This window comes from Homo sapiens, chromosome 2 (genome assembly GCF_000001405.40).
Source record: "Homo sapiens chromosome 2, GRCh38.p14 Primary Assembly".
NCBI lineage: Eukaryota > Metazoa > Chordata > Mammalia > Primates > Hominidae > Homo > Homo sapiens.
Window position 1 is genome coordinate 166,364,974 of NC_000002.12, and position 23,295 is coordinate 166,388,268.

Genomic DNA, 23,295 nt, shown 5'->3' on the forward strand with positions numbered 1-23,295 from the left:
TGTTTTGCTAGGCAGTAGTCATTTATATCTATGCAGTACCACTATTTCATGAGAAATAATCATATAATAAACATCAAAATTGATCGAAATATACAAAATATTACTGTACTCCCACCATTAAGTTTCCAAAATGCAAACATTTAAAGTTACTCTCAATTGTAATCTTTGTCTTATTAGCCCTGCCCCCTGCCCCAAATAGTAAGAGGTTCCAAGAATCCAATCCATTACAGACAGGAAGAGAATATAGGACATTTAAATATAAATACATTTACATATACATAAATAGTAAATCAGTACATAAATACATATACATGCATGTACATATACATTTACATCTAAATCACAAAAAAAGACAAAAACATTATTTTTGTATAGAAATTAGAAACTTCTCAAACATTTTTTTCTGGTTTTATGTTACCCATGTCCAGAAAGAGATCCAGTTAAAAAAGAGCACACTCATCCCTTTCCAAAGTTGTACCCATGCTGGTAATTTTAGCATTGGTTTATCACGCAGCCCTCGACGCAGGTTAGTAATCCCTACAAAATCAAGAAAAACCCTCATCTTCTGCTTTCAATCTTGCTGTCTGTATTTCAACCATGCTGGTTTTCTTGCTTCTCCTTAAATACATCAAATATGCCTTAGGGCTTTTGCAATTGCTGTTTTTTGTGACTAGAATGATTCTTCAGTTGTTTAGCTAGCTCCCTTAGTTTTTCATTTACTTCATGTCTCTACTCAAATACCCTGTATAAAATTTTTCAGACCACTTTAAATAATACCTCCTTCTCTCAATTCTCTGTCCTGTTTTATTGTTTTTCACAGCATATCTTATGGTACAATGATGGATAGTGGCGAATATTTATCTCTTCATTATCTCTTAAAATCGGCGTCACATCTCCATGTGTTGTTCATTGCTATATCTGATGTCTACAATAAAACTTTATGAAGAAGGAAGAGAGGGAAAAAAGAAAGAGGGAAGGAAAGAAGGAATTGCTTTTAAATTCCAGGAAGAGTATAAATGCTGAGAGGAGTGAGGTTGTGAGTTCTTGGAACTGGCCTGGAGGGACTCAGCAGCCGCTTACCACTGCCCTTGGGATCTCTGCCAGGTCTTCCCTCCCTACAAACCTCAATGGCACCAATACCAACTTGGATGCCAACTCCTGACCTACACATTTTGGAGGCCAACTAGACCGGATCTAATGATTAATCCCTAGGCTAAGATAAATCAGTTGGAAATTTCAGCTTTAACTTTGTTTTTTCTTATCTGCCAGTCTACCTGTTAAGCATATCTGTCACTGTCAAAAGTTTTCGTGTCCCTTTACTTATTTCACTTAGCATGTCTCTTCTAGGTCCATGCATGCTGTCACAAATAGTAAGATTTCCTTCTTTTTTTAAGGCTAGATAATATTCTATTTTATATACAGACCACATTTTCTTTACTCTTTTATCTGTTGATGATCATTTGGGTTGTTTTCATATTTTTGCTATTGTGAATAATGCTGCAGTAAACACAGAAGTGCATATATCTCTTTGAGATTCTGATTTCAATTGCTGGATCATATGGTAGTTCTATTTTTAATTTTTTGAGGAACTTCCATATTATTTTCCATAGCAGCTACACTATTATACATTCCCACCAACAGTGGACAATGCTTTCATTTTCTTCACATTCTCAACAACACCTTTCACTTTTTTATAACAGCCATCTTAACAGGTGTGAGATGATTATCTCATTGCAGTGCTGATAAAACCTTAACCACTTAGTCTAGAGGATAAGCTACCAATCCACAAATCACTAAAATAGATTGAGACGTATCATAGAACTCAAGGGCCAAATTTCCCATGGTTTTTATATCCCAAAGTACAGTATCTAAGTGGATAATAGATATTTAAAAAAATTGCATGCAAAAATTATTATAAACATAATGTAAAATAAATTAGTTTTCCAAAACTGTTTTAAAACCCTTAAAAGTCAACTTCTTGCATTACTGATGTTAGACAATTTAACTGACTTAGATAATTGAGTCTTCATGACAATAAGTACTGTGATTTAGGTTTCATTTGTGTGTATCAATTTGTGATGCTCTAAATATTTGTACTCCTCCAATATAGAATATCTAAATTTTTATTTTCCAAGATATATAAATACTTCCAATGAACACCATCATCTTATCCTGCACAAGATCACTTTGCTTTTCATACTTCTCCATCTGCTAGCTCCAGGATCTCAACGTGTGTAACTTCATTCCCTGTTTCTTCTCCATTTCAGAATAAACTTCATCCTAGACATTTTTTTAATTTTTTTTCTTGAGACTGAGTCTCGCTCTGTTGCCCAGGCAGGAGTGCAGTGGCTCGATCTCAGCTCACTGCAACCTCCATCTCCCAGGTTCAGGCAATTCTCCTGCCTCAGCCTCCCGAGAAGCTGGGACTACAGGTGCTGGCCACCATGCCTGGATAGTTTTTGTATTTTTTTTAGTAGAGATGGGGTTTCACTATGTTGACCAGGCTGGTCTCCAACTCCTGACCTCAAGTGATCAGCCTGCCTCAGCCTTCCAAAGTGCTGGATTACGGGCGTAAGCCACCGCGCCTGGCCCACCCTAGACATTTTATACATATTTCCCTTTTAATTACACCATTCCTCTTTTTTCAAATCTTTTCTACCTTGGGGAAGGCCTTTTTCCCATTTCAGTTTTTTAATGTTAAAACAAAATATGCGAATCATAGCAAAGTCAAGTCACAGTAGTGCAATAATACTCCTAGACCAGGAAAGTGAAGTCATTCAACCTATAAAACAACTTCAAAAACACTTTAAATGCATAGGTACTCTTTTCATAATGTCTTCAAACTTCCACCAAAATCTCTATTTTGACTTAACACAATATACCCCTCAGGAATTGGTGTCCAAGAAGAAAATTGAAACAGTCATCCATCTTTCTTTTTTTGTTGTTTTCTATTAGCTGTAATTACATGATTTAGTATGTTTGATTGCAAATGTAATTTTATTTTAGCTCCATTAAGGGTTAAACATATTTGATAGAATGCTTGGTAGCGTAACCACCAGGTATATCTGTGTGGGGTATGTGCAAACGTATTCTTGGAATATATAAGATTTCTTTCCTATAAAAGAAATGTGTATGTTATTCAAGTTTAGTAACCATTGTGAGTCTTTGGAAAGGTTAGGTAATTTCTGAGCCTTAGTGTTCTCACCTCAAATGGTGGTCATGAGGATTTAAACGGAGCATATGAAAATCCCTTAACAAACTGCTCAGTTAGCATTAAGGAGACGTCCATACATAAGACTGTTACATTAATATTATCAGTAATGTTAGCAAGATGTAAACTTTTCCGTATGTATTTTTCCTTGTAACAGCATAATTGCTGGCCTTGCACAGTGGCTTACACCTGTAATCCCAACACTTTAGAAGGCCGAGGTGGGCAGATCACCTGAGGTCAGGAATTCGAGACTAGTCTGGCCAACATGGTGAAACCCCATCTCTACTAAAACTGCAAAATTAGCCGGGCATGGTGGTACATGCCTGTAATCCCAGCTACTTGGGAGGCTGAGGCAGGAGAATCACTTGAATCTGGGAGGCAGAGGTTGCAGCGAGCCAACATCGTACCACTGCACTCCAGCCTGGGCAACAGAGTGAAACCGGCACACCTTTACCTATGTAAAAAACCTGCACATCCTGCAAATGTACCTTGAAACTTAATTAAAAAAAAAAAAAAAAAGAGGCTGGGCATGGTGGCTCACGCCTATAATCCCAGCACTTTGGGGGGCCTAGGCGGGCAGATCACCTGAACTCAGGAGTTCAAGACCAGCCTGCCCAACCTGGTGAAATCCTATCTCTACTAAAAATACAAAATTAGCCAGGCGAGGTGGCTCATGCCTGTAATCCCGGCTACTCGGGAGGCTGAGGCAGGAGAATTGCTTGAACCTGGGAGGCGGAAGTTGCAGTGAGCCAAGATCGTACCATTGCACTCCAGCCTGGGCAACAAGAGTGAAACTCGGTCTCAAAAAAAAAAAAAAGAATGCATTTTGATTATAATATTCTAAGTTATTAAATGCCTAGATACCATTATTGAACATCTACTCATATCTACTTATCATGTGTAAGACACTAAAGTGGCTGTTTTGGAAAAAACAAATTACGATGTATATACATATATATCTCCTAATATATAATATACTCTATATATAACATATAATATAGTCCTTAGAAGTAAATACTACTAATTTACAGGAAAGCAATATTTAAGAAATTAATATTTGACTAAGACCACATACTGAGTAAAGGAAATATTTGGGAAAAATAAACTTCCTTTCACTATACTAATTTGAACTCAAATTTATTTATCTGTGCTTTTAACACTTTATAAAAATATTTTACAGTCTGAAATATAGTAGAGATGTAATATAAATTTTGAAAGGCACTTCTCTGCCTAGCTGTTCTACAAGTGTTCATTCCTAAAAGTCTGTCAGCTGATCTCATGGGATTATAAGAACCTTATTCCCAGTTGATCCCTGAGTAGGCCACTTCCCTTTTTCCTACCTGAATTACCATGAGCCAAGTTTGTAAATGGGGTAACAAGAATACATATTTTGTTAAGAGGGAAACAAATTCATCACTTCAACTTTATAATATTTTGTTCCATGCAAAGATCATTTACAAAGATTGGTCCCATAATATTTACCTAGAAGGAATCACTCAGATAAAGGCATCACTTACCAATAAAGCATTTAATTCATCCTATTCAAAATGTCCTCAATAAATTATCTTTACTCTGAGCCCTAAAAGATACACTGTCTATTAGACTTGAAAGAATAGTCATTTAGTAGAGCTTAAATCAATATATGAAATATAAATTTTAATTTTTTTGTAGAAACAGATTTTCCTTTTATTGCCCAGGCTGATCTAGAACTCCTGGATCAAGCAATCCTCCAGCCTCGGCCTCCCAAAGTGATGGGATTGCAGGGGTGACCAGCTGTGCCTGACATAATATTTTATTATCATGAAACATTTTTCTCATTTTTCCCTGTTTTACTCATCTGCATGGATTTGAATATCTACATTTACTTCTTTTTTCAAATTCTAAAGTATAGACTCTCAAGAAGATGACATATTTTTAAAATAATTACATTGGATTTAAAAACATATAGTGTAGGAGCAACTAGTAAAAGTTGACAGATACCACATCCAGTGAAATTACCCCCAGTTAAAATAATAATAATAATAATAATAATAATAATAATAATAATAATAATCATCATCATCATCATTAGATAATGGGCTGAGCGCGGTGGCTCATGCTTGTAATCCCAGCACTTTGGGAGGTCGAGGCGGGCGGATCACTAGGTCAGGAGATTGAGACCATCCTGGCTAACATGGTGAAACTCCGTCTCTACTAAAAATACAAAAACATTAGCCGGGCACGGTGGTAGGCGCCTGTAGTCCCAGCTACTCGGAGGCTGAGGCAGGAGAATGGTGTGAACCCAGGACGCGGAGCTTGCAGTGAGCCAAGATCGCGCCACTGCACTCCAGCCTGGGCGACAGAGCGAGACTCCGTCTCAAAAAAATAAAAAATAAAAAAAAAAAAGAATCTTTAAAAATCAGATAATACAGGGAGTCTAGGTGTGCATATAGCACATAAAATTTTTATTAAAAATCTTATGGGAATGTTTTTAATACTTATATTTTAATGCATGCTTCTAATCTTATTTATCTTTCTTTAGAGGCTCAATTTTCCAATTATTTGTACTAATAGTTTGACCTAAAAGTGGAGTAAAATTTGCCTTACTGGCGTACATATCAAACATTTGGAAGATGAGATGTAGGAGAGAAGAAGGAAAAAAAAAAAGAAAAAGGGCATTCATTGCAGGGCAGGATGCTAACTTAATTGTAAATGTACACACTCTTTCTAAATTTCCAAGTGAACAATCCTAGGTGCAATTAGAGCTTTATTGTATTTTGATAAATGATTCAGAAAGCTTTGTAAAAAATCCAAGGAGACATTTTAAAGAAATTTATGATCAGTAATAGCAGTCTCTCTAACACTTGACATAACAAGAGGAAATCATAAAATGAATAGCAAGGAAATTACAGTTAAAGTAACGTTAGGTTTCAACAGTAATATATGGCATTTTTGGCTCCATGTTATATCACTTTAAAAAATCTAAAGATAGTTCATCTCCTGTGTTAAAGAAACAACAACAACATATTTTTTGCTTACAGTAAGTTGTTATTTTAAAAAGAGACGTGGAAAGAACGGTTTTCTCTATAGAACTAAAAAGATATAGAATAATTCAGTTCTACATATGTCAATTCAAACTTGTCTGTGGCAGATTATGCTTACTGGCACTGTTCAAGGCATTCCCCTCTTCCTTCCCCACTTTATCATGGCCTGGCATTTTTCCTCACCACCCAGAAGGGTTTCATTCCTCCAAACTTCATTCCACCTTTAGCTGCCAAGAGCTGATGGCTTTTTCTTTTGCCTAAAGCCATTTCCTTCCAGCAAGGCAGAGGAAAGGGTAAGTGATACCTTCAATGAAGAAATTTCATTTTTTAGAATGGCAGGACACCAAAATTGTTATCTCATATTCCACAAAAGTATTCTACCCACATTCTCTGGATGCTCTCATAAATCCTCATATAAAATATTTTTATACAATTTTATAATATCTATTTTAATATGACCTTGCCTCTCAAGTGGTAATCTAACTCTACACAGTTCTAAAGGAAGATGTCATAATACTTCTGTAAAGAATAAATTAGCTAATTTGTGATGTGTAATATGAAGGACCATCTTCAATTAGTACACAGATGCCCTCCAATACAACATCCACAATATGTCCTCTTCAGAGCAAATTTTTAAAAATCCCTGCTCACAATTAGTGAAATAATTTAGTCCTTCAAGATGTAATGTGGTAACCAAATTATTTACCAAAAATCTGTGGCTGGCCATTTGCTACATAAAAAAATCATTAATCAGTTTGTCACCTAATTGAAAGCTAAATTTTCAACCAAATGTTAATAGCAAAACTAGTTGTTTGTTTAATATCTTTAAGCATAGTCTGCAAAAATAAAGGGGGGAGGCAAATCACCATACAAAGTGTGTGTGTGTGTGTGTGTGAGTGTGAGTGTGTGTGTGGTAAAATTCTAGTATGAAAATGACACAATCATTTATGAGCATGAAGTTTGCAGTCCTTACTTCCACTCTAATAACAGTGATGGGTCTTCATGGATAAGCCCACATTGCCTCTCTGAACCTTCCTTAGAGAATGCTTCAAATATTTGGATAATGTGCCCTTTGTACCTGGGGCAAACATCAATTTAGACCGTGTGGAAACCTAACTTATGGCCTCCGCCTCATCTGACTACATTTCTATCAACTGAGCTCACATAAGCATCTATGTTTATTTTAAAAGAATATTTTAAATTCATAGTCAGTGACTATTGACTGGCCCTCAAATTTCTGTTAGATGATACAGATTTAAACCTAACAAGGTTATCATTTTAGATTTGGAGTCACTTATAACCATATTAGTTTATGCAATCCAATTTTTTCTTAAAATATATTTTAATACATTTGTGGTCACTGCCTTTCTAAGAATGCATTACAAATTACTTACCTTTAAGTACATTATCACCTACACTGATAAAAGAGAGAATACATCTCAGGATATTTTAATTTTACCTCCTCAATATCATACCATGATATTGTAAAAATACTAAATGCTTGACAAATAAAAAATAGAATCACAAAATTCATGTTTCCAGGGTTAATATGCTTTATTCTGGAAGAATCCATATTTTTGTATTTTATTATTTATATAAATATCTACGAACCCCCTACTACTTGATGCCAGGCACTATTCTGGAAGCTAAGTCAACAATGAAGACATAGTCTGGGTTCCCTTGGAGTATTTGGTATGCAAATTCACAAAATACCTGCATGCTGTAACAAGCAGTATGAAAGAAACAAGGTTCCAACATCAAGACCAACACGGGACAACCTACTTTTAACAAGATGATCAAAAATGATCTTTCCAAAACAAAAAAACCTCGAGTTGAGATTTAAAGTTTAAGAAGGAGTAAGCACGCATAGAGTTCAGGCATTGGGAACAGCATTTGAAAAGGCCTTAAAGAGTGCTATTGTTTCATGTGTTTTAGCCACGACCTGGGCAGGAGCACCTTAATGAGAAGAGAATAGGTTCTGGTGAGGTTGGAGAGAAGGGACAGAACAGAGAGTAAACCATATGCTGAGGAAAGGCATTTACTGTTGTTGCTAATTGGTCTCTGTGTTGCCATGTTTATTTCTTCTTCTCCTCTTCTTCTTCCTCTTTTTTTTTTTTTTTAAATGCAGTTGTGAGCCAATGTTTGTTAGGGGAGACAGGATGGTATTGCTTTGTATAGAGAATGAATTGCAGGGGAGAAAATTACAGAAGTGGAGAGATTGATATGGAGGCTGTGGCAGGATTCCAAGTAAATTATGATGATGACCTGAACTAATTTGGTGGCCGTGTAGATACAGAAAAGAGGGTGAATGAGAGGCATCTGAGACGTATGATGAAATAGAAATAAGTTTGGGAGATAAGATTGATAGATCTACTTACAGGCTGGAAAGGGCTGAAATGGAGTAATAAGGAAGAGAGCAATCAAAGGTGATTTCAATACTTGGATGGTGAAGGCATTTATTCAGATAATGAAGATGGGAGGAAAGAATCTGAGACAGAGTTTTAGGGAAAGTCATAAATTATTATCATTATGACATCTAGAATGTTCCATTTACATCAATAAACTTTAAGCTCTTTTACAAGATCATGACTTGTCTTAGAAAAGTACCATATAAATCCTTCTAGCACTTCACACTCTTTTGCATAACTAATAGGAATAGAAATTGGATAAAAAATAGATTTTATTATTCATGTAAAATGAAAAATTCTACTTTTTTCCTTGCCACAGAGAAAGTGGGTTGATTATATTAAATAAATAGAACCCTACTGATTGCTCTTCTGAATTTATTTATTTGTTTATCTATTTTGCTTCTGAAACTCAGCACAGCAACAGGTAGTAAAAACATAGAAGCATTACCACAGAAGGGCTCCCATGATTATATGCAGGCCCTAGGGGAAAGGAGGCCCAAGATGCTTTTGGCAGAGAGCCAGACCTGACTCATCTTTCTTCTGTAGAAGCATCAGGTACTCTGTGAGCCTAGCCCTGCACCATAGGAATCAAGGCATATCATATATCCAGTCACTGTAAAAACACATCACTGAGTCCCACAACTGCACAGTGGCTTACTTAAGGAAACCTCCTTTTAAACCTCTACAAAATTTTAAAAAACTTGTCTTAAGCCAAACTATCAGTTGCCTAAATAGAGGGCACATTCTTCTTTACATCAAATACCATATTCTGTCTAGAGTTTTGTTGTTGATAAGCTAGTCTAACAATCATGAAAATTTGCGACACAGGGATCAGATAAGACTAGCTTTCAAACTAATCAATAATTTTTAAAAAATCTCACCATAATTATAAGAAAAAATTATAAACTTTTTTAAATAGTGGAAAAAATCTGAAGAATTTGCAATAAAATGAACAGTTTAATAATTGGATTTGGTTTGCAGTTTATATAAAATAGGTTTATATTGATGTTAAAGCAAAAATTATAAAATATATTTAAATAACAAGGAAAGAAAGAGAAAGAAAATCTTTATCTTGTCTACAGGGAAGAAGAAATAGAAAAGAATAATAAATATGTTTCTGAAAAGAACTGAACTTCCCAACACTGACTTCCTATTCAGTAACTGACAAGCTATCACTTCCTTGAAAGCTTACTTTGATTTGGCTTTTATCTTACTGACACTAGCTTCTTAAAAACCCCCCTAAGTTTCTCATGTAAATTGCTCTTAACATCAGAGTAGATATAATCTATGAACGCTCCAACTTAAAAAAAAAAAACTAAAATAATGAGTGAAATGTTTACTATAATCACAAAAACTGGCATTAATGTTTCTAGTTTCTTGTTCTGATTTTTGTCTTGAATATAAGGCACGAAAATATCCATTTTTTCCTAAAAGTAAATGAGTTTCCCAAGTTGAATTCGATAAAAAGTTAAAAGGATTCTGCATCTTTTCTGAATTTCACTATAAAGTGCTTATTCGAAAAAATAAATAAATAATCTGCGCTGAGAAATAGGGGCAGAGCTGTCCTGTCAATTATTTGTGTTTGTGTGCTCTTAAGGGGTGCGGGGTTCTTTTCTGTCCCCACAGGTTGTATCTGCTAAGCTGGTTCTGCACGCTCAGCTTTGCAGATGGGAAATACAGCACATGCTTTTTGCTCGTAAAAAATGTGAGCTGCCCCTTGAATTGAAGTCCATCTAACAACTCTGCTAGCGTAAACAGAAATAAAAGACAGTAAACCACCAGGCATTGCTACCCTTCCTTTCCACAGTTTCAGAACCTGGCAGCAAACCCACAGAGTCAAAACCGCACAGGAGCTGCCCAGCTATCGAAATAACTACGCTTCCAGCCCTTCTTCCTCCCATTGCTGGAACCACCCGGTCAAGCTTCTCCCCTCTCTTCTTTCCAGGTGGCGTAATACAGGGTTCCAGAACCGAGATGTGAAAATAGACACAGGTGGGTGTGGCGGTTGAGGCGAGCACGGGCGAAAGACCGAGGGCTTCTCCTCCCCTCCCCACAGAAGCAGCAAAAGAAAAGGCACTTACTTGCAACCTAGCCCGCCGATCATCCCCACCCAGTGCACCTGCAGAATCTGGCTCCAGGAGAGGGCGCGGGCCTCTCCTTCCCCGGCGCTCTCTCAGGGCTGCTTCTTTTTCTCTGGGCTCCTGTTGCTCAGGGGACGCCTGCCGCTAGCAGCCACTGGCACCCAGGCTAGCCCAGCCTCAGCCGAGCTGGCGGAATTGGAAAGCCGACAGCCGCCGCTGGAGCGCTGGCGACCGCCTGCAAGCAGACTGCGCCCCTCCTGCCAGGGCGCGCCCGTGGAGGTAGCAGCCCCGCCTCCCCGAGGGCAGCTGCGCCGCTTTGCCTCCTCCACTCCTCCCAGCGCGCCCGGGTCCCCACCCCTTGCTCCCTCCCTCCCTCCCTCTCTCCACTCCTGCGGGCGGCGCAGGGCGGGGACCCAGCTAGGGGCGCGGTGGTGGCGACGCTGTAGCCTCTGCACCATGCGCTAATAGAAGGCGGAGGAGGGGGTTGCACGACCTGCCATCCACGGCCACCCATTGGGTGGGGCGTGTGTGTGTTTGAGTGTGTGTGTGTGTGTGTCCAGCAGCCAGAAGAGCCCTTCCCTTATCTCACCCCCGCCCCCATCATCCCTTTCCTCCCTTCCTGCTCAGCAGAATCGGCTAATGTTTCCGAGAAGTCACTTTGTGTGGCTTGGTGGGGAGCTGGAGAAAAACTCCGGAGCAGAGGAGGTGGGGACCAATGGCAAAGCCCTGAGTCTGGGGCAGTGGCTGGGGAGCCAGACAACACCGCCAGGCCAGCGCCTCCCCGACCTTGGGCTCTGAAGAGTCTAGGCTGGGAATTGGTTTCTTCCGTAGGGCTTTGCTCACAACCGCGAGTGGGGCGGTGACGCTCAAGACCGGTATCTAGGCTATGTTTTCTGTTTTCTTTATATATATGTATATATAAAATCAATTGAATTGCAGCGTCTTCCAGGCAAGCAAATAATACATTTTCTTTCGAAGATGCAGTGAAGAATCAGAGGAGGTCCTAGGTGGGGAAAGAAACGTGGGGAAAAGGCTGCTTTTCCAGACCTGGGACCCGATTATCTGAATATGCCATCAGTCATATGGGTTCTGAATTTCAGAGCTGGTAGGAGCGACTGTGAAAATAAATTTTTTAAAAATTCATTTTGTGTGGAGTGTGTGCGTGCGCTTTCCTACAGCAGCCTGGGAGGAAGAACAATGGAAACAGGGTTGAATTATCTTTCTCAAAGAGAAACAGGAAATTTCCACCAAGGGAAGAAATCAAAGGATGGCCATAGGGCAGGGTGCCTCTCAAAAGGGCAGACCACTTTGCAGGATAAACACTAGTGACGGGCACTTTTATTATTTGCTTCCACACCTTCTATCATGGAAATGATGCTTAGAGATAACCGGAAGGAAATCAAATCCCAGGGTCTACTTTTCCCTGCTGCTTTCTTTGCTTCTGAGATTTGTCCTGGGGCTTTGGACCTTACATTCTTGACTTGTAAGATGTGCTATTGAAGGAAGGAAACTTCAGTGACTGAGACTGTGCAATGAAGGTGAACTAGCTCACTTGTGATAATTCTCAGTGCCATATCCTGGACAAATCGCCTTCTCTTCCCTGATTGGTGGTAGATATAGGAAGAAGAGTTCAACTGCAATAGGAATAATGGTCTTTTTTATTAGATGCAAGCAATGCCACATTCTTTTATTTTTAAAATTTTATTTTTAGAGCAATTTTAGGTTCACAGCAAAACTGAAGGGAGGGTACAGAGATTTCCCACATAACCGCTACTCCCACACAAGAATAGCCTCCCCCATTATCAACATTCCCCACCAGAATGAAACATTTGTTAAAATTAATGAACTTACTTTGAGGTTTCATTATCTCCCAAGGTCTGTAGTTCACATTTAGGGTTAGCTCATGGTGTTGTCCATTCTATGGGGTTAGGCAAATATATAATGACATGTATCCACCATTACAGTATCTTACAGAGTAATTTCAGTTCTCTCCTGAATTCTCTGTGTTCCACTTATTCATCTCCCATTTCAACCCCTGGCAAGTACTGATCATTTTACTGTCTTTATAGTTTTGCCTTCTCCAGGATATCCTATAGTTGCAATAATACAGAATATAGCCCTTTCAGATTGACTCCTTTCACTTAGCAATATGCTTTTAGTTTTCCTCCATGGCTTTTCATAGCTTGATAGCTCATTTCTTTACAGTGCTGAATAATATTCCATTGACTGGTGGTACCATAGTTTATTCATTCACCTACTGAAGGACATCTTGTTTGCTTCCAAGTTTTAGCAATTATGCGTAAAGCCTCTATAAACATCTTTGTGAAGGTTACTGTGTGGACATGTTTTCAAGTCCTTTGGGTGAACATCAAGGAGCACAATTGCTGGATCATATGGTGAGAGTATGTTTAGTTTTTAAAGAAACTGCTACACTGTCCTCAAAGTGGCTGGAGCATTTTGCATTCCCACCAGCAATACATGAGAGTTCCTGTTGCCTCACATCCTTGGCCAGAACTTGATATCATCAGTGTTCTGGATTTTGGTTATTCCAATACATATGTGGTGGTATCTCATGCCCATTGTTGATACCATAAGTGTTATTTGATTTGCATTTCCCCTGTGATATATGATGTGGATCACCTTTTTATATGCTTATTTGCAATATGTGCATCTTCTTTGGTCTGTTAAGGTATATGGCCCATTTTTTTCATTGGGTTATTTCTTTTCTTGTTGTTGAGTTTTAAGCTTTATTTGTATATTTTGGTTAACAGTCATTTGTCAGATGTGTCTTTTGCAAATATTTATCTAACACTGGCTTGTTGTCCGTTTTTGCAGAGCAGAAGTTTTTAATTTTAATGCAGTTCACCTTAGCAATTATGTCTCTTATAGATTATGCCTTTGCTGTTATATCTAGAATAACACATATGTTAGATACATTCTTAGAGTGGAATATATAATGCATTATACATTATATATAACCTATATATTATAACATGTTATATATTATATTACTATATTATGTTATAATATATGTTATGTATAATACATATGTTGTATATAATATATAACATATTATATATTCCACTTTAAGCATCCATTAACAAGAACTTACTATTCTCAATATATCTAGGTTCTTGTTAGAGATCTTCAAACATAAAATCCTGGAAAATGATAAAACCAAAAATAAAATCCTCTTGGTCTGACTGAGGGATCCCTTGCAGGATTTTCCCTGTGAGCTCATAGGCAAAGCATTAGGTATATTATTCATTATTTTCCCAATTTTCTTTCATGTTCCAACTATTTATTTCCTTTCCATTTCTTTTATGTGCCATTCCTAGTCTACAGAACATTAGCTGTTTGTGTTTTTCTTGCTCTTTTGGCAGCCCTAGAAATTTTATCTTGGTTTAAACCCAGAAAAAGTATCTTTCCAAATTTCTTATTAAATACTACACTGCACAGCCTTGAGAGTTCATTAAACACTAAATGACAGCGTCAGATGTAGACATAAGTAGATGGTACGTTTAAAATTTAAAGGGTAGGCTTGAATTAAGGGAACCAGACAAAGCCTGTCTGGTTGAAAAAGCCAATAACCAATAAGTTCCTAATCATATTTACAACTGACCTTCCGTAACTTAGATAGAAAAATGTGGAAATGTTGAGTCATGGAAATTAACTAACATCATACAATCCATACCAGAATAGGAATAAGAATTTTATTTCCCTTAGTGAGAAATAAATGGATATCCACACTTCTGTATTTTCCACAATTGCCACTGCAATTTTCAAAACTGTAGAAGTTTCTGGAAGAACAAAAAATAGACAGTAATATTAAGGCAATAAAATTAATACAATACTGAAAGAGTTTGTTTTTCTCTAATTAAATAGGATTAGAAAAATACTTTTACCTTCTAATATTGGCTGCACGGCAATATTACAAAGTAAGAAAAAACAATTATTCTGTTGTGAAAATAGAAGAATAAAGTTACAAGTTTTGTGTATACATAGCTAAAAAGTAGGATTCAAAAGTAGAACTTCAAATTATAACTAAAAAGAAATAGAATATACAATGAAGATTATCAGACATAGATTGGAGTGATGAGATGGGCAAATGATGCTTAATGAAACAACTGAAGAAAAGAGGTTTCCTAAATGTATTGGCATCTGAGTGTTTGCTCGTCTAATTTGACGTGGTCTGGATTTTTTTGGCCAGAAAACTGATGTGAAGAAAAATAAATGTTTTGTCTTGCATGTAGTAGATGCTTAGTAAGTATATTAATTGATTACTTATTCCTGAAGAATTTTCCCCAGTGTCATAGTCCACTGATGGGTCCCTTACCCTAACAATGGTTTTGCTGATAATGTGCTTTCTGTGGAGTTATTTTTGATCAAAACTATTGTTATCGACATTCCCTTGTAGAAGTCTTCCATTAGATAAGGGGACAAAATATATGAAACACTAGTTTTCAGTCATTGGGCAACATTATCTATAAGACAGTGATCCCTAGAGAAGAGAAAGAAAGTGAGGCTGTGATTGTCTCTGCATACTACACAAAGTTTCTAAACCACAGCTCAGGAAGATGGAAACATGAAGAGCCAGAAAATAAGAGTTTGATAGGCTGAGGGAGCTAGAATTTGTTTATTTGGGACAGGACACCTAAGACAAGGGAGCTGAACAGAGAGTATACCAGAGATCTGTAGAAAGAGACCTCAAGTTTTTGCTTGACAGCATTCTGCAATTGTGTGAAAACAAAAATACCCTAAGCCAGAGAAAGAACTACAGTCATGCATTGCCTAACAATGGAGATATGTACCGAGAAATGTGTCACTAGGCAATTTTAACATCATAGAGACAGTACTTACACAAACCTAGATGGTATAGTCTACTACATACTTAGTCTTTATGGTATAGCCTATTGCTTCTAGGCTATAAACCTGTACAACATGTTACTGTACTGAGACAATTGTAACACAGTGGTATTTTTGTGTCTAATCATACCTAAACATAGAAAAGTTACAGTAAAAATACAGTATTATAATCTGTGGGACCACCATCATATATGCAGTCTGTCCTTGACTGAAGTGTTATCTGGCACATGACTGACATGACTGTAATCTTAAGTAGCAGGTTAAAAATTCTTGGACCTCACACAGGGATAGTAATATTTTATCCTCCCCAGTCAAAGTGAAAAGACCTCAAAACACAGGAGATATTGGGTAGACTCTGCAGAAGGGTCTTATCTTAGCAGTGGGGCTGAATTAACTTTAACTAACGTTGCTCTGGATTTATCCTAACAAAGCTTAAAAGTGAGGCTTAAAAGGACCCAGGTGATTTCAGTTTGCTTATATGTTAGCCAGAGTAAAATCCAACACGTCTCAAAGGACCTAACAACGTAAAATTCACATTGACTGGCATCCAATCAAAAATAATGAGCAGGCATGCAAAGAAGAAGGAAAATATGAGCTAGAGCCCGCAGAAAAGTCAATCAACAAAAACAGACCCAGAAATGACAAAGATAATGGAATTAACAAATTAGGACATTAAATTTTGTAATATTAAGTTGGCTATGTATACTTAAGACAGTAAAGAAAAATCTGAATATGATGAGGAGAGAAATATAAGATATAACACACAAAAATGGAACTTCTACATATGGAAAATACAATATCAGAAATGAAAATTCAATGTATTGTAAAGGCAACACTCGGAATAGTAGTTAAGGAATATATATACACATTCAAAATAGAAACTAATGATCCCTATAACAACAAAGTTAATTCACAACCTGTTTTAACAGCTTGACTGCTATTGTTCCAGACTTTTATTTTCCTATATGAATACATATGTCATTAATAGTATTTGAAACAATAAAATATTAATGCAACATTTGTTAAACAGTTATAATAATTTATAGGTAGCTGTGATCTTTTGTAACTTTAAATAAATATTTCAATATATTCATTTAACATACATGTATTACATTTATTAAGTTAATTCTCAAGGATCAGAAATTTTTCTTCCCTCAAAGATATATATGGCCAGGTGCAGTGGCTTATGCCTGTAATCCCAGTACTTTCGGATGCTGAGGCAGGAAGATTGCTTGAGTCCAGGAGTTCAAGACCTGCTGGGGCAACATAGGGAAACCCCATCTCTCAAAGAAATAAATAAAAAATTAGCCAGAGACGGTGGTGTGCACCTGTGGTCCCAGCTACTTGGGAGGCTGAGGTGGGAAGATCAGTTGAGCCTGGGAAGTCAAGGCTGCAGTGAGCTCTGATCTTGTCACTGTACTCCAGCTTGGGCGACAGACTGAGATGCTGTTTCAAAAAAAAGGAAAAAAGAAAAGAAAAGAAAATTAATTTTAAAAAAGACATAAATAGGTCCTCAAGATAGTTCCAAAAGAGACATTTAAAAATATTTCAGCAAACCCATCGCTAATGATACAAGATATAACTTCCCAAGCTGTTACTCTAAAGGAGATAACAGCTATTTAAATTTATTTATTCCATTATCTTTACTAAATTGAAAGTTTAATTATGTACTATGAAATGGAGTTTGAAAATAATGGTGTTTTTCTTGTTGTTCTGATTACCTTAAGAAGGAGTATTGGCAAATTTGAATGTGTAGTCTAAGATGTGGTGATAGCTGATTCTTTCCAGGTTAGTAGGTTTTAAAGCAATGATGGGGATAGAATCAGTTTGTGGACCAAGAGTTCTGAAGATTTTAAAGGGGCTTTAGAGAGAAGTGAGGCCAGGGAGGTCTACAGAGACCTAATGGCCCAAGGGTCTTCAATGCAGCTGTAAAAGACTAGTTTGCTATTTATAGAAATCCACATTCTAAATACTAAGTTTCTTAAAGATACTCACACTGCAAGTTTTTATCATAAAAGTAATAATCAGTCAGAGCAGGAGTCCACAGCAGGAACCAGGCCACACAGCAAGAGGTGAGCTGCAGGCCAGTGAGCAAAGCTTCATGTGTATTTACAGCTACTTCCCATGGCTTGTATTACCACCTGAGCTCTGCCTCCTGTCAGATCAGTGGCAGCATTAGATTCTCATAGGAGCGCGAACCCTATTGTGAACTGTGCATGTAAGGGGTCTAGGTTGTGTGCTCCTTGTGAAAATCTGATGCTTGACGATCTCTCACTGTCTCCCATCACCCCCAGATGGGACCTTCTAGTTGCAGGAAAACAAGCTCAGGGCTCCCACTGATTCTACATTATGGTGAGTTGTGTATTTATTTCATTATATATTACAACGTAATAATAATAGAAATAAAGTACACAATAAATATAATGCACTTGAATCATCACAAAACCATCTCCCACCTCTGTCTGTGAAAAAAATGGTCTTCTAGGAAACTGGTCCCTATGCCAAAAAGATTGGGGACTGCTGAGTTAGAGTTTATCTTTTAAATCAAAATTTTCAAATTATTGATTACCATTGCTGCAAGATTTTTTTTCTAACATTTCTTTTACTTTCAGCCTAATTGCATTTACTACTTTTACGTTGCCGTATTTTAAGCAATTCAGTAAATAGACTCAAATTTTCATGGTACTGACGAAGAATAAAAAAAAATAAAAATTTTAAAAAGCAGAATATATTTGCGTAGTGTCTAATAAGATATGTTAAATTTTAAACCAGAGGCATGTTTTAGCAAAGTCTGAATTTATTTACACTCAAAAAAACCTGTTGATATTCTGAAAATGTATTGTCATGTGAAATGTGGAGAAGACAAGTTGAATGGTAATACCATGTAAAAATAATACTGTATAAAAATGATCAGCATGATTTCATAAAATATTCGGAAAAGTCATAGATTTAACTCTTGAAATTTTGTTTCTTGCCAGTGAGATTAATAACAGTTATTGAAGTTGTAACATATACCAGGCATTATATTAATAAACTTTATTTTTTTGACCCATTTAATCCATATAACAAACGTTTTGTTTGTTTGTTTGTTTGTTTTTTGAGAGAGGGTTTTGCTCTGTTGTCCAGGCTGGAGTGCAGCGGCATGATCGCATCTCACTGCAGCCTCAACCTCCTGGGTTCAAGTGATTCTCCCATCTCGCCTCCTGAGTAACTGGGACCACAGGTGTGCACTACCACACCCGGTGATATGGTTTGGCTCTGTGTTCCTACCCAAATCCCTTCTTGAATTGTAATCCCCACCTGTTGAGAGAGGGAGGTAATTAGATCATGGGGGCAGCTTCCTCCATGCTGTTCTCCTAATAGCGAGTGGGTTCTCAGGAGATCCGATGGCTTTATAAGGGACATTTTCCCCTTTGTCTCTTCTCTCTCCTGCCGCCATGTGAAGAAGGTCCCTGCTTCCCTTTCACCTTCTGCCATGATAGTAAGTTTCCTGAGGCCTCCCCAGCCATGCAGAACTGTGAGTCCACTAAACCCTCCTTTTTAAATAAATTATCCAGTCTCAGGCAGTTATTTATAGTAGTGTAAAAACAGACTAATAAACCTGGTGAAGTTGATTTATTTTTTTGTAGAGACAGGATCTCCCTGTGTTGCCTAGGCTAGTCTTGAACTCCTGGACACAAGTGATCCTCACACCTTGGCCTTCCAAGTGCTGAGATTATAGGCATGAGCCACAGTGCCTAGCCAACAACTCTTAGAGGTAGGTGATTTTATTATAATCCCCGTTTTTTTTTCGGGCTGAACAACTGGCCCAAGGCCACACAGCTAATATATGGAAGAGCCAAGGTGACAACCTAAATAAGTTGGCTCCAGATCCTGTGTGCTTAAGCACCATGCTACACTATCTCCATAAAGAAATGGCTCTTCTATGTCTCCTAAAGGCAATACATACATTTTGAAAGTACTGGCCACCTACATTATATATATGAATTGAAAATAAAATTTGTTACACGTAGAACAAAATAAATATTAAACAAATAAATCTCTCAGTAATCCATTTATTTGCAAATAAACCTGTAGAGTTGAAATCAAACATGTCAGAAAAGTTAAATTGCATCACAGTATCGTGGATAGAGTACAGAAGCTATTTACTGATCTGCCAGTTACTACTGTATCTCTGAGCACGTCTCCTCATTTCTATGTATTTCAGTTTTCTCCTCTGTAAACAGGAAAGTTTGTACTAAATTATTTTTTATTCCTTTTCATGCATAAAATTCAAAATCAGTTTCATCCTTCCACCTTCATTTTTGGCTAAATGCCACATTTACTGCCACCTGGTGTTCAAAATAAGTAGAATGTTTTATTATACGAAGTGATCTAAAAAACCTTTTGATATTAACAGTTTCTTTACATTCGAAGCAAGGGGGAAAGTCGTGTGTGTGTTTGTGTGTGTGTGTGTGTGTGCATGTATTTTTTTTAGACAGGGTCTTGCTCTGTCGCCCAGGCTGGAATGCAATGGCGCAATCTTGGCTTACTGCAACCTCCACCTCTCAGGTTCAAGCGATTCTCCCTCCTCAGCCTCCCGAATATCTGGGATTAGAGGCACCCGCCACCACGCCCAGCTAATTTTTGTATTTTTGTAGGAACAGGATTTCACCAGTCACCCAGACTCGCCTCGAACTCCTGACCTCAAGGGATCCGCCTGCCTTGGCCTCACAAAGTGCTGGAATTACAGGGTGAGCAGCTGTGCCTGGCCCGGAAAGTACATTTTGCTGGTGTTCAGACTTAAGGTCCATCTGTAGATGAGCTGAAACAACCACTTCTGACTGTTTTATATATTAGAGTAATTTGCAAGGAGATAACTTCAGTTAGTAAACTTCACAGATCTGATTCAGATTAAAAAAATTTTTTTTTGTTTTTGCTGAGACATAATTTCAACAATTTATAATTGTTTTGTGGGAACTTTTTTTTTGCTTACTTGTGATTTTTGTCCACAAATATTTATTTAGCTTATGCAAAGGGCACACCTGATACAGAAAGGCCTTCCTTTAATCATATAACCTTGTGTTATATTCTCTTTTGATTTAAAAATTAAAGTAACAGAAAAAGAAAGAAAATATGGTATTTCAGAAATATATATGAAATTAAAACAAGACAAGGCAGAGGGACAGTAGAAATGGATGTAAATACTGGAATTTTTAAAAAAAGCTTTATTCTAAAATTTTAAATATAATTACTTTTTTGAAGCATTAGTTTTTAAATATAGTATCTCAAACTTTGTTTAAATTTATGAAAATACTTTTACTCCTTCCATTACAATAAAATAGATTGGAGGAAATTCAAGATGTGATTGGTTAGGGGTAACAGGTAGAAGCCCTGGCTAGACAGGTATCCAACGAGTACAGTACAACAGGGTCGATGCCTAAAGAGTCAAAGCACTGTTTGAGGAGAGTTAAGGGAACGTAGGCGGTAGCACCAGTGGTGGAGTGACACTCTTCAGAAGAGCTGTGCTCTGTTTAGTTACAGGCCCTTGGTTGTTTTCCAAGACCTGACACACTATTAAATGGAGATTACTCCTGAGTGTGGCACAGCTTTGAATAGACACCTGTAGTCTTCTGAACAGATATGAAATTTGAATGATAGCTTTAATATCCCCTCTCACTTTTTTCATATGTTCACTAGTTTATCCTCTTGAAAGAAAGGAGAAAAAGAAAAGCAGAGCAATTGTAAGTAAAGGCACATGTGGGGAGAGGTATCTGGCAATGGTTTCTGCCTATTTTGATGAAATATGGATGTTAATGGTAAGAGCTCTATGCCAGAACTTTATATCTTTGCTTTTGGGTCAACTTTGTATTTTTTTTCTTCACAAAAAATGTAATAAAAGGCCGGGCGCGGTGGCTCACGCCTGTAATCCCAGCACTTTGGGAGGCCGAGGCGGGCGGACCACGAGGTCAGGAGATCGAGACCATCCTGGCTAACACGGTGAAACCCCGTCTCTACTAAAAATACAAAAAATTAGCCGGGCGTGGTAGCGGGCGCCTGTAGTCCCAGCTACTCGGGAGGCTGAGGCAGGAGAATGGCGTGAACCCGGGAGGCGGAGCTTGCAGTGAGCCGAGATCGCGCCACTGCACTCCAGCCTGGGCGACAGAGCGAGACTCCGTCTCAAAAAAAAAAAAAAAAAAAAAAAAAATGTAATAAAAGGAATTCTACCACATGTTAACAAAAGCCAAAGAGGTTGGGGGCAAGTGTTGGAGATTTAATGGTCCCTAGGAAAGAAAAGTTGGTTTGTTTTATTTAAGCAAAGAAGAAAGAAGCGTAGAGAAAACTTATTTTTACCAGAGATTTCTTCTTTCTTTTTTTGTTGAAAGATGTATGCTGAAGTCTCTCAAATTTGTTTATTTCTATCACCACTTGCACTATTTTAGCTTGAGTGCTGTGATCTTTAATTTGGACTATAGAAACAGACTCCATACTGCTCTGTCAACTGCCAGCATTCCTAACTCTAACCAACTCTCTACATTCTCTTATTTAATGAGTGGTTCTCAGGATCAAGGTCAAATTCTTTAACATCCATTCTGATCTCTAGCATCAAGGTCTTTGCTTTTGCACTTTCCTTTGGTGGACCACTCTGCTCCAGCACTTATTTCTGAGCCACCTCTTTTGTCCTTCAGATCCTGGGCATCACACACTCTAAACCCTGCTTGACCTGCCAAGTATGGATTAGATTCCCCTCCTCCATGCTTCCATTATGCCCTCAAAGTGTGTGTCAAAGTATGTGTCACATTTTATTCTATTTCTTTATTTGGACTCCAGCAAAGACTTCCCAGAACAAGTGATGCTTGAGCTGGCCTTGGAAGGTTGTTCAAGAATTAGATGGATGGGGCTTGAGGGGGAATTGCAGGCAGAGGTAATATGGTATGCAAGAACAAGGCCTTTTGCAAATCTTCAGTTTCTGTATTGATGAAGTTGAGGGAGGGCTTGGGAATGAGGGAAGGTAAGCCCAGAGAAAAGGAGGCATGGGTGATAAAGGTCTTGAATATGCCCTGCTGAGTTGCCTGAACTTAATGAGGAAAGGAGACATTTTAAATGTGGAAATATAAATTGTCACCATCATATTTGATTTTTAGAAGCATTATTCCTATTTTAAAAGAAAAAAGTACATATTACTCTGATAATGCTGGGAAGAAGGGTTTGAACAATAACATACATGAGAAAAAATAAAGACCTAAAGAAACTAGGGAAGTGAAAATGGAGCAGTATGGTCAGAAGTAGTAGGTTTTTTGGTTTGTTTTTCTAAGTAGAATTGAGAGGAAGTAAGTGCTTATTGAATTTGGGTAGGAGAGTAGATGGAGGCATATAAAATAAACAGAAAAGTTTTGGACATTAGTGACAATAGATGGCAATGATAATTTCATTAACACTCCCCCCCATCCCACAAAAGAGTTAGTATTATAAGAGAAATAGATTTAATGGTGGAAGATGATGAGCGAAGTTTTATACCTATTGATTTTGAGATGCTGTGAGACAGCCAAGTGGAAGTATTTAGGAAGAAGTTGAATGTGTAGAGATTAACATGATGTTGTCATTTATGAAAAATGGCCAAATATGTGGTTTAATACCTATATTACATATTTTTAAAATATATTTTTAACACCAAAGGAGTACATATAGAACAGAATCTCTGAATAAAGTAATGTATTTCACAGAAA

At 37.5% G+C, this 23,295-nt stretch overlaps 1 protein-coding gene across 7 annotated transcripts in view; it reads right to left on the reverse strand.

The window, feature by feature from the left end:
• Positions 1-11,014, reverse strand: part of SCN9A (sodium voltage-gated channel alpha subunit 9) — a 180,803-nt gene extending 169,789 nt beyond the window's left edge. For 4 of the 7 annotated variants that reach the window (XR_001738886.2, XM_011511618.3, XM_011511617.3 and 1 more), the window contains exon 1: positions 10,724-11,014. The gene's annotated coding sequence lies outside the window, so the exon portion shown is untranslated. The remainder of the gene's footprint in view (positions 1-10,723) is intronic. The other 3 variants (NM_002977.4, NM_001365536.1, XM_011511616.4) reach the window with 2 other exon arrangements.